Genomic DNA, 12,678 nt, shown 5'->3' on the forward strand with positions numbered 1-12,678 from the left:
GGCCTCCGGCTGGGGCCACCCAGGCAACCGATATACACAGAGAACCACGTGGAGGAAAAGCACGCGAGTTTGGAGCGGGTGGAGCAGGAACAGAGGTGGACTGGAATGTCACACGACGGGGCAGCTGGAAGGTATTGGGAAAGAAGAGGCGTCATGGGAGAAGGCTCGGAACTTGAGCCCTGGGGCGTATCAACTTTCAGTTTTTAGGGAAGGCTAAACGTCCCCCACTCCCCTTCTCACTGGGCTGGGGGAGGTCCTGTTCCTCAGCCTCTTCTCTTTTTCTCTGCTGTCAAAGACACTCTCCGCTCATTTTACTTTCATGGGACCAGTGATTAGTGATGAATGCCTGAGTGGGTAAACGGAGGCACTGAGTCAATGAAAGAATTCTCTTTGGTCTTTTCAAGAAAAAGCCGAGACAAAACTTGAATTTTTGCTGCTCCCATTCCTTTTATGTAACCTTCTCCCGACTCCCCCGATGTTGATGAGGAAAATCGCACAACCAGGTAGCTGGGTACCAAGGCGAATCCAGGTTTTCAACTTCAGCTGCTCCATCAACCCTTGCAGCTGCCGTTAACTCCTCCCATCTTCACCATAGATCTCTCTCTCCATCGCTACTCTCCTCAAGTCCTTCCTTCTCTTCTATTTCCCAGAGAAATCAGACGCAATCAAGAGGGGAATTCTTAAATTTCTACCTACAAACATGTCTGAATCCATTCTTATCAGGAGCAGTGAAAGAGGCACCCCTGTTCTTGTCCAAGGCACGATTCCCTTCTTGATTTCAACTCTTGTTTTGTTTTTGTTTTTGTTTTTTGTTTTTTTGAGACGGAGTGTCGTCGCTCTTGTTGCCAAGGCTGGAGTGCAATGGCGCGATCTCAGCTCACTGCAACCTCCAGGTTCAAGCAATTCTGCCTCAGCCTCCCAAGTAGCTGGGATTACAGGCGTGCGCCACCACGCCAGGCCGATTTTTTTTTTATAGAGTCTTGCTCTGTTGTCCAGGCTGGAGTGCAATGGCATAATCTCGGCTCACTGCAACCTCCTCCTCCCGGGTTCAAGTGATTCTTGTGCCTCAGCCTCCCCCGAGTAGCTGGGATTACAGGAGCCCACCACCACGCCTGGCTAATTTTTGAATTTTTAGTAGAGACAGGGTTTCACCGTGTTGGTCAGGCTGGTCTTGAACTCCTGACCTCAGGTGATCCACCAGCCTCAGACCCCCAAAGTGCTGGGATTACAGGTGTGAGCCACTGCACCCGGCCCCAGCTAATTTTTTGTATTTAGTAGAGATGGGGTTTCACCATGTTATATTTCCTTAGGGCCCTCATTCCATCACTTCATTTTACAGATGGATATTGGACATGCCAGTCACTCTTCTAGAAACTGGGGATATAGCAGGGAACAAAACAGGCACAATCCCTGCCCTCAGGGAGCTTACATTCTAGTAGAAGCAGGACTAAATAAGTAGAATATGTAATATGTTAGATGATGCTAAGAGCTATGGGGCACATCAAGCAAGGAGGAGGTGCGTTCGGAGAAGGTAACATTCAAGTGACCTGAGGGAGGCTAGGCGTGAACTACACATAAATGTGGGGAAAGAATGTTCTAGGCAGAGAGAAGAGTAAAAGTAAAGGTCCTGAGGTGGGAGCGACCTGCCACTTTCGAGGAAGAACAAAGTCAATGTGGCTGGAGTGAAGAGAGAGAAAGATAGGGAAAGAGTGGGAGACGCGATCAGAGAGGTCAGAGAAGGACCCAGCCTGTAGGTCCCCAAGGCCATTCTGAGGACTTTGGCTTTTATGAAGCTACTGGAAGGTTTTGAAACAGGGTTGTCCAATCTTTTGGCTTCCCTGGGTTATGGTAGAAGAAGAATTATTGTTTTGGGCCACACATAAAATACACTAACACTAAAGATAGCTGATGAGCTTTAAAAAAAACTCATAATGTTTTAAGAAAGTTTACGAATTTGTGTGGGGCCACATTCAAAGCCATCCTGGGCCACATGTGGCCTGCATACTGTGGGTTGGACAAGTTTGTTTTGAGCAGAGGAGGGACACGGATCTGATTTTTGTTTTAACAAAATACCTTTTGCTACTGTGTAGAGAACAGCTCTGAAGAGAGCAGAAGCGGGAGACCATTTAGGAGGTCATTGTGAGCGTCTGGTTAGTGTGGTAGCAGGACAGGTGATGCAAAGTGGTGGATTTTGGAAGTATTTTGAATGTGGACTAACAGGATTTTCTGATGAATTAGGCAGTGTGGGGAGGAGGGAGGAATTTTTCACCTGAACTTTAACTGAGGAGGGGAAGGCTATGGTAGGATAATCGCTTGAACCTGGGAGGCAGAGGTTTCGGTGAGCCGAGATGGTGCCACTGTACTCCAGCCTGGGCGACAGAGCAAGACACAGTTTCAAAACAAAAAACAAAAAACATATGTCTACTAGGCATCAAAATGGAGATGTCAAGAAAGCAGCTGCATATGCAAGTTTGGTGTGGTCTGGGCTGGCGATAAAAGATTGAGAGTCATCAGCATATGGAAGTTATTTAAAGCCAGGAGATGAGAAGAATTACCAAGGGAGCAAGTGTAGATAGAAAAGATGTGCAAGGACTTAATTCTGGAGCTCTCCAATATGAGCTTGAGATCAGTTGGAACTGTCAGAGAGATGGAGGCATAGGACCAGTGTAGAGAGGAAAAAATCCCAGGAGATGGTGGTATGCTAAAGGCCAAGAGAAGGAAACTTACCAAGGAGGAGGGAAAGGTCAATTGTGTCAAATGTGGCCCATAAATTATGTAAGATGAGTTTGAGAATTGATTGATTGATTTTTTTTTTGTTTTATGTTTTGTCCCTCCCTTGCCCCCCTACTGGAAAGTATATAGAGCAAAGATAATTGATTGAAGGTCATTGGTGATTTTGACGAGAACAGTTTTGGTGGAGTGGTGGGGGTAAAAGTCTGATTGCGGATGAGTTTAAGAAAGAATGGGAGGAGAGGGATGGCAGCAGTATAGACAACTCTTTGGAGGAGTTTTCTTGTAAAGGAAGGAGAGAAATTGGATGGGAGCTAAAAGGAGAAGCGAGGTCAAGAAAACTTTTTAAGTGGGAAAAAATAGTTATATGTTATATGCTGATGGGGAAGAGGCAGTAGAGAGTGAAGATTGACAATGCAGTGGGGAGTGAGGAGAATGTCTGAAGAAATGTCCCTGATGAGGGGAGAAGGGATTGGACAGAGTCCAGAAGCAGAGGGGCTGGCTTTGGTTAGAGGACTGATGGCTCATGAAAAGTAAAAAGAGAGAAGGCACGATATTTGGGCATAGATGTGGGAAGGCGGATTGATGTGGGGGAAGCTGGTGGATATTATCTCTTTGTAGCCTTTTTTTTTTTTTCTCTTAGTGAATTAGGAAGCAGGGTCAGCTGACTGTGAGGATGAAGGGGAAAGGCTTAGAAGTTTGAACCTAGAGGTGGAGTTCTAAAGTCACTGAGAACAGTGATTCTCAAACTTTAGTGTGTATCAAAACCACCTAGAGAGCCTATTAAAGCCCTCCCACAGCCTGGGCAACATAGAGAGACCCCATCTCTACAAAAAATAAAAAAATCAGCCAGGTGTGGTGGTGTGCGCTTGTGGTCCAGCTACTCAGGAGGCTGAGATGGGAGGATTGCTTGAGCCTGGGAGCTCAAGGCTGCAGTGAGCTGTGATTGTGCCACTGCACTCCAGCCTGAGCTACAGGGTGAGATGCTATCTCAAAAGAAAAAAAAAAAAAGCCCTCCTTTCCCCCAGACGTTCTGATTCAGTAGGTCTAGGATGGGCCCAGGAATCTGCATTTCTAACAAGTTCCGGGTGATGCTGCAGTCGCCTGTATGGGGATGACCCTTTGAGAACTACTGTGTGAGAGAGTGGGGCAGTGACTGGACTCGAATTCCCACAAATGCAGTGTGGTTGTCAGGTAGCATCAGGGGCCCAGCTGAGGTTAGAAATCATGATTTGAAAGTGTCTCCAATCACATCCCACTCACAATTGCTTGCACATGTTTGGAGTCCTATCTCTTTAAAACTTCCATTTTCTACTGACTTTTCCTTTGACATATAAAAGGCTCCACACCCTTCCTCTTTAAAAAATGAAAATCTTTAACTTAGGTTCTAGCTCTCCCCTCTTCACAATTCTCTTGGCAGAGTTGTGCATGCTATATTTCCTACCTCCTAGTCTATGCAGCATCCACAACACATCTGCTCTCCCTCCAACCTCAGGACTCTTCTGTTAGGCATCATTACTGATCTAGATGCTAAATCCAATGGGCACTTTTTAGTTGTAATCAGGCACTTGACCACCTACAAATCTGATACCTCCAACCATTTCCTCCCTCAGCTGTGTCCTCCTTTAGGTTTTGTGGACACACTGCTTTTCTGGTTTTCCTCCTGACAGCTGTCACCTTCTCATTCTCCTTTTCCCCTGATGTTCCTTTATCCTCCTTTCAGAGCAGCGTATAGCACAGTGGTTGTTATATGTGAAGGTTGTAGATTTACTGGGATAACTTCTGATTTCTCTGGCTCCTAGCTGTGAGACATGAAACATTTATATCTGTTTCTTCATATATTTACAAAAGTGAGGCTGGGCATGGTAGCATGTGCCTGTGGTCCTAGCTGCCTGGGAGGCTGAGGTGGGAGGATGGCTTGAGCTCAGGAGTTTGAGTCCAGCTTGGGCAACATAGGGAGACATTGCCACTTAAAAAAAAAAAAAAAAGATAGGCCGGGCGCGGTGGCTCACGCCTGTAATCCCAGCACTTTGGGAGGCCGAGGTGGGCGGATCACAAGGTCAGGAGATCGAGACCATCCTGGCTAACACACTGAAACCCCGTCTCTACTGAAAATACAAAAAAATTAGCTGGGCGTGGTGGCGGGCGCCTGTAGTCCCAGCTACTCGGGAGGCTGAGGCAGGAGAATGACGTGAACCTGGGAGGCGGAGCTTGCAGTGAGCCAAGATCGCGCCACTGCACTGCAGCCTGGGCGACGGAGACTCCGTCTCAAAAAAAAAAAAAAGATAGTAGTAGTACCTGCTTCACAGGGTTCTCATTTGAGGATCCAATGAGTCAGTATGCATAAAAAGCTTACAACAATGCCTGGCACATAGTGAGTATGTAAGGTCATCACTCCGAGCTACTACTCATCCGTCAGGTGCTACTTGTGTAGGCTGATGATGCAAAAATCTGTATTTTCAAGCAGGCCTCATTCCTGAGCAGCAGTCATAATTATCCACCTGCCTCCTGACATCCCTAGATGCCTCATCAGCATCTCAGCCTTGACATGCCCAAACCTTCAACTCAGCATTTTTCACTCAGTTTTCCCCCTTTCTTTATTCCCCACATCCATGAATGGCACCACCATCTGTCCAGTTCCCTGGTCAGAAATTTGGTAGTTTCTAGCTTCTCTCAGTCCCTTGATTTCTTTCTTTTTTTTTTTTTTTTGAGACAGAGTCTTGCTCTGTTGCCCAGGCTGGAGTGCAGTGGTGCGATCTCGGCTTACTGCAACCTTCACCTTCCGGATTCAAGTGATTCTCCTGCCTCAGCCTCCCGAGTAGCTGGGATAACTGGTGCTTGCCACCATGCCTGGCTAATTTCTGTATTTTTGTAGAGATGGGGTTTCGCCATGTTGGCCAGGCTGGTCTTGAACTCCTGACCTCAGGTGATCCACCCGCCTCGACCTCCCAAAGTGCTGGGATTACACATGTGAGCCATTGTGCCTGGCCACAGTCCCTTGATTCTTATAGTGGTATTATCTTATTCTACAGACTCATATGCAGGAGCATACACATAACATTGTTTTTTCTATAATATAACTACATTTATAATATTTTTTACACACTTTTTATTTTTCTGAGACTGTCTTGCTATGTTGCGCAGGCTAGTCTCGAACTCCAGGGCTTAAGGGATCCTCTGGCCTCAGTCTCCAAGTAGCTGGGACTACAGATGTATGCCACAGTGCCTGGCTCTTATGTTTCTATTCTGAGCCAGCTTCTATTCTCCTGGAATGTTGGATGCTTCATTTTAATCCATTGGTGGAATCACCCCTCCTCTCTCCAGGGATTGCCTTAATTCTGGGAGGGTGTCTCTTATGTATATATTTTGCCAAAGCACTGGTGGAAGTGGGTCCTGTTATTAAGTGGCCACTCAATGTCCTCTGAGATATCCTCTGCCTGGCTCCTGCTTGTATGGCCTCTTTAGGTCTGGTGTCTGTGTGCTACCTCTCAGTTGCTCTTGGACACAGGGTTCATTCTACTGCTCCCATGCCCTGGAGTAGCATGAGAAAGTGTGGCACTGTCTATGGTTCAAGCTGCCTCCACAATAGGCTACCCTCTGCAGCCATGTCTTCTTTTGGGGGGTCTTGTCTCCTTCCTAAGGCTCTGCCTTGGATATAGTTCTGGGGCTCCACTGCCATCAGGTCTCAGAAACTTACTTGGGGGTTTTGCTGTCTCTCTGCACTCAGGTGCCTGAGGACAGAACCCACCACTGTCTGTGCTGTCACTACGTTCCCGCTGGCTCTTGCCTGCGAGTTGTGCTCATGTCATGGAACTGGGGTGAAATCAGTGCGAGGCCTTGCTTTATCCAGAATATTTCCTGCACATCTTCTATCCAGACTGGGAGTCCTTTCTGTTTTCCTAAGGGCCTGCCTAGGCGATTGAAATTCAAAAGTCAGAAGTGGCTTTCTGTTTCCCCTCGTTTTTGTTGCATCTTTTCACTGAGACATCAGCGCAAAAGCTGGGCTGCTCAAGCTGAGGCCATAGGAGAGAAGGGGAAGAAACCACAAATAATATTGTAAGATGTCATCATATCCCCTATATCCAGTGGGCGCCATGGATTCTACGTCTTTAGCCACCCTAAAATTTCCCCCTTTTCACCCACATTGCTTCTGTCGTAGTTTGGGGTTTTATTGTTATATTTCTTCTGGTTTGAGAGTATTCCCTTCCTAATCACAGGGTTAGGTTGCTGAAACAATGGGAGGTTTTGCAGATGAAGATCCTTGATAAAAGATAAGATTCAGAAAACTGAACGACCTATGAAATGCCTGATAAATACCGTATCTTCACTAGAATCACAACTAAAATTTAGCACACTAAATAAATTATCAACAACAGATCTGAAATTAGTAGTAGTGTGTATTGTGTAATTTCCACGTATCCCTGGGTGATTTAATGTTTTTAGGATTTCCCTGCAGTTCCAACAAGAGAGTGGTAAATCCAGTTTGTTTTGATGCAGATGATATATTGTTAGATATTCTCTTTGGGTCAAGTTGCTAATCCAGACATCCAATACCTTCTGATTTGAGGATTTCCAGTTATTGCCCTCACTGGCCCCATCGTGGTCTTCAAAACAGCTTTGGGGGACCTGGTTTGAGATTAGATCCTGAGATTTTTGAAACCTTGGTAAGGGGAAGCAGGAAAAACTATTTAAAAGTTGCAGGCCAGGCATGGTGGCTCACGCCTGTAATCCCAGCACTTTGGGAGGCCAAGGCGGGTGGATCATAAGGTCAAGAGATCGAGACCATCCTGGCCAACATGGTGAAACCACGTCTCTACTAAAATTACAAAAAATTAGCCGGGTGTGGTGGCGGGCGCCTGTAGTCCCAGCTATTCGGGAGACTGAGGCAGGAGAATCACTTGAACCTGGGAGGCAGAGGTTGCAGTGAGCCGAGATTGTGCCACTGCACTCCAGCCTGGCGACAGAGCGAGACTCCATCTCAAAAAAAAAAAAAAAAAAAAGGTTGCAGCCAGGTGTGGTGACTCACGCCTACAATCCCAGCACTTTGGGAGGCCGGGTTGGGTGGATTGCTTGAGCCCAGTAGTTTGAGGCCAACCTGGGCAACATGGAGAAACCCTGTCTTTACAAAAAATTAGCCAGGAGTGGTGGCACAGGCCTGTAGCCTCAACTACTTGGGAGGCTGAGGTGGAAGGATCACTTGAGCCTGGGAGGAAGAGGTTGCAGTGAGCCGTGATCATGCCACTGCATTCCAGCCTGGCAACAGAGAGAGATCCTTCCTTGCCTCTTCCAGCTTCTGGAGCCTCAGGTGTTTGTTGACTTGTGACTGCATCACTCCAATCTCTGCCTCCGTCTTCACATGGCCTTCTTCTCTCTGTCTCCTGTTTCCCGGTGTCCAACTTTCCCTTGTTTTATAAGGACACTAGTCATTAGATTAGGGCCCTCCTCATCTTAACTTGATTACACCTGCAGAGCCTGTTTCCAGGTGCGGTCACTTTGACAGGTGGTGGGGATAAGTGTCTTGCTTACCTCTCTTCTGGTAAGCAGCCCTGCTCTCTGGAGCTCCTGGTGTCTGGTTTTGGTATCGCCATCTTTTGTTGCTGGCAGCTGCTGGCTTCAGGGAACTTCATCTCCTTTACAACTGGCTCCTGGCCCATTGTCTTCCTCTCTGCCCTTCTCCTTCATCATCTTGGGATGTCAGCAGCCAGAGAGCTGGCCTGTCACTTTGGACCTCTTGAGTCCCTTTCTCATTGTGGCTCATCTGCCCACCCGCCAGCATCTTCACGTCCTTACACAGTAGACTCTACAATGCCTCATTAGACTCTCTCCTTTGCCAACTTCCTTCAATTTTTTGCCCCTCCTTCTTTCTGCTGTTCTTGCCTGGAAACACCTGGATCTTTGCTGAAGCCATCTTCTCCACCTCCCTGTGCCTGCACTCACACAGTTGGAAGATACAGATCACCTGATTAGGTCCACTTTACGTTCAGGACCACAGACCTCAGATGGACATACTCAGCACTGCCCAGCATCTCTATTATGTTTCCCTGGTATGTTTATTTGCCTGCCATATTTTCTATTGCTGTATAACACATGCCCCAAAATCTAGTGGCTAAAAAAATACCCATTTATTTTATTATTATTTTTTAAAAAATGATAGACATGAGGTCTCATATGTTGCCCAGGCTGGTTTCAAACTCCTGAGTTCAAGCAATCCTCCTGCCTCAGCCTCCCAAAGTGCTAGGATTACAGGCATGAGCCACTGCACCTGGACAATATCCATTTCTTATCTTATAGCCTGTAGGTCAGAAGTCCTGGTGGGCTCAGCTGGTTCTCTGGTCAGGGTCCCACAAGACCAAATTCAAGGTGTCAGCTGGGCTGGACTCATGTCTGGAGGCTTGGGGCAAGGATCGACTTCCAGGTTCATTCAGGTTGTTGGTAGACTCCAATTCCTCATGGCTGCAGGTGTGTGGCCCCTATTTCCTTGCGTTAAAGAAAAATCTGAGGCGCAATAATGTTTTTGAGTTTATTTGAGTAAGAAGCAATTGATGAATTGGGAAACACCAAACTGAAGAGGTCTGTTCTGGCGGCAAGCCATCAGGGGCAAGTATTTATGGGGTAAATACAGAAGCAAAATCAATAAATTATTTGGTTGTTTGCAATTATACAATTGCCTTATTTGGCCTATCCTGTTGGAAAGTCCTTGGTTATATAGTATAACTGTTTTGGCTATTTCTGACTGGTTGAGCCTATGATTTGTTTTTCCTTAATATAGGCATTTATAAGAAAAAAGTCAAGTTTCACTTATGTTTGCAAATCAAGCAAGGTTTAGGTCTCGTTATGAAGCCTCACTGGTTTTGTCTGCTCAGGGATTCTTCAGGCCTAGTATCTCTTTAAATTTACTCTAAGAGCTCCCCGCTTTTGGTCATTCTCCCAGCAAGCTGAGAGTGTGACCGAACAGTATAGCATTACTCTCGGTAACCAGGTTACCATTATTGACTAGTTACTGGAACAAAGAATCGTGTAGATGTTGTCATTCTCAACAGTTGCATTGGAATGTAAGGTCAGGTAGTTATCATTATCTGCAGTTGCAGAGTCATCATAGGCTTGAGTGGTGGGGTTGTTGCGTTCTTCTAGTTGTCTAATCCTGACGGCAATTGTTTGATGTGTGAGTGGTTAGGGTCTCACACCTGAATGCTGCTGGAAAGCATTCAAATCCCTTGAGAGGATACAGTGGACTACAGAGATGAAAACCATGATTATAAGGAGAATAATAGCCAATAATTGAAAATTCTCTGGAGCAGACATTGAGCTCAGGAGTTCAAGACCAGCCTGGCCAACATGGTGAAACCCCATCTCTACTAAAAATACAAAAAGCCAAGAATTAACCCATTAAATAAATCAGTAGATCAGGTAGATCGCACCTATCTGATGAGGAACTTACATTTGTTTAAGATCATTTGAATTGGGGGCAATAATTTCTTTTTTTTTTTTAAATTATTTCCATAGGTTTTTAGGGGAACAGGTGGTATTTGGTTACATGAGTAAGTTCTTTAGTGGAGATCTGTGAGATTTTGCTGCATCCATCACCTGAGCAGTGTACACTGAACCCAATTTATGGTCTTTTATCCCTCACCTTCCTCCCACCCTTTTCCCTGAGTCCCCAAAGTCCACAGTATAATTCTTACACCTTTGCATCCTCATAGCTTAGCTCCCACTTATAAGTGAGAACATATGATGTTTGGTTTTCCATTCCTGAGTTACTTCACTTAGAATAATAGTCTCCAGTTTCATCCAGGTTGCTATAAATCCATTAACTCCTTTTTATGGCTGAGTAGTATTCATATATATATATATATATATATATATATATATATATATATAAATATATATAAATATATCACAGTTTCTTTATCCACTCATTGATTGATGGGCGTTTGGGTTGGTTCCATATTTCTGCAGTTGTGAATTGTGCTGCTATAAACATGCATGTGCAAGTATCTTTTTTGTAAAATGACTTGTTTTCTGGGTAGATACTCAATAGTGGGATTGCTGGATCAAATGGTAGTTCTACTTCTAGCTCCTTAAGGAATTTCCACTCTGTTTTCCGTAGTGGTTGTACTAGTTTACATTCCCACCAGCAATGTAGAAGTGTTCCCTCATCACTGCATCCACACCAACATCTATTATTATTATTATTGTTATTATTATTATTATTTTTTTGAGATGGAGTCTCGCTCTGTCTCCCAGGCTGGAGTGCAGTGGCACGATCTCGGCTCACTGCAAGCTCTGCCTCCTGGGTTCACGCCATTCTCCTGTCTCAGCCTCCCGAGTAGCTGGGACTACAGGCGCCCGCCACCACACCCGGCTAATTTTTGTATTTTTAGTAGAGATGGGTTTTACTGTGTTAGCCAGGATGGTCTCGATCTACTGACCTTGTGATCCACCCGCCTTGGCCTCCCAAAGTGCTGGGATTACAGGTGTGAGCCACTGTACCCGGCCCCCATTATTTTTTGATTATGGCCATTCTTGCAAGAATAAGGCTGTATCACACTGTGGTTTTAATTTGCATTTCCCTGATCGTTAGTGACGTTGAGCATTTTTTCATATGTTTGTTGGCCATTTGTATATCTTTTTTTGAGAATTGTGTATTCATGTCCTTAGCCCACTTTTTGATGGGATGGTTTGTTTTTTTCTTGCTAATTTGTTTGAGTTCCCTGTAGATTCTGGATATTAGTCCTTTTTTGGATGTATAGGTTGTGAAGATTTTCTCCCACTCTGTGGGTTGTCTGTTTACTCTGCTGACTGTTCCTTTTGCTGTACAGGAGCTCTTTAGTGTAATTAAGTCCCACCTATTTATCTTTGTTTTTGTTGCATTTGCTTTTGGATTCTTAGTAATGAAGTCTTTGCCTAAGCCAATGTCTAGAAGAGTTTTTTTTCCCAATGTTATCTTCTAGAATTTTTATAGTTTCAGGTCTTAGATTTAAGTCCCTGATCCATCTTGAGTTGATTTTGTATAAGGTGAGAGATGAGGATCCAGTTTCATTCTCCTATATGTGGCTTTCCAGTTATCCCATGGGGCAATAATTTCTAATTTATTGACATAGAAACAACATTTTTTTTTGAGACAGGGTCTCACTCTGTCACCCAGGCTAGAGTGCAGTGGTGCAATCGAGGCTCACTGCAGCCTTGACCTCCCAGGCACAAGGGATCCTCCCACCTCAGCCTCCCAAGTAGCTAGGACTATAGGCATATGCCACCACACCTGACTAATTTTTGTATTTTTTTTGGAGATGGGGTTTCTCCACAGTGCCCAGGCTGGTCTCAAAACCCTAGGCTCGAGTGAACTGCCCACTTTGGCCTTCCAAAGTGCTGGGATTATAAGTGTGAGCCACCATACCTGGTAAAACATTTTTTTAATCAATAAAAGCACAAGCTCTTCTTTGTTAAACTGTGAGGTATCAAGCACTCCTGTTTTGGAGTATTTTTGAGGCTAAATTGTTCATTTCAGATTATATTGCTCGAAGAGTATTCAAGTTATCATTCTATGAAAACAAAGGAAAAACGAAGATTAATATTTGGAGCAAATTATGATCTTAGTCTTTGTGTCTGGAGGGTCAAGATTTGTAGATTTGACTTTGAAGTATCTTTAGATGGTGGAATGAAGATGGCATTTGAGAGCTGGTTATATCATCAGGTGGTGTTCTGGTGAACTCACATAGCAGCAGGCATAAAGGTTGTCTATACATGGTCTGTTGCAGTGATTTTTTTCTGAAGTTTGAAGTCATCCAGTTTCAGCTTTTAGGACTTGAGAAAAGGGCAGTTTTAGTTTTTAATGAAACTAGAAAACTTGAGGATTCAATCCAGTTTATAGATGGATAACAAATCTCAAAGAAAATAAACAGGACTAGAATTTGGTAATTGGTGCGCTACAGTTTTCTATTGAAATGTAAT

The 12,678-nt window shown here is 44.8% G+C and overlaps 1 long non-coding RNA gene across 1 annotated transcript in view; it reads left to right on the plus strand.

Moving 5' to 3' along the window:
* The window catches only part of USP2-AS1 (USP2 antisense RNA 1), a 117,456-nt gene continuing 104,778 nt past the window's right edge, over nt 1–12,678 (plus strand). The window contains exon 1 of the long non-coding RNA NR_034160.1: nt 1–131. This is a non-coding gene — a long non-coding RNA (USP2 antisense RNA 1). The remainder of the gene's footprint in view (nt 132–12,678) is intronic.

Source organism: Homo sapiens, chromosome 11 (assembly GCF_000001405.40).
Source record: "Homo sapiens chromosome 11, GRCh38.p14 Primary Assembly".
NCBI classification, from domain to species: Eukaryota; Metazoa; Chordata; class Mammalia; order Primates; family Hominidae; genus Homo; species Homo sapiens.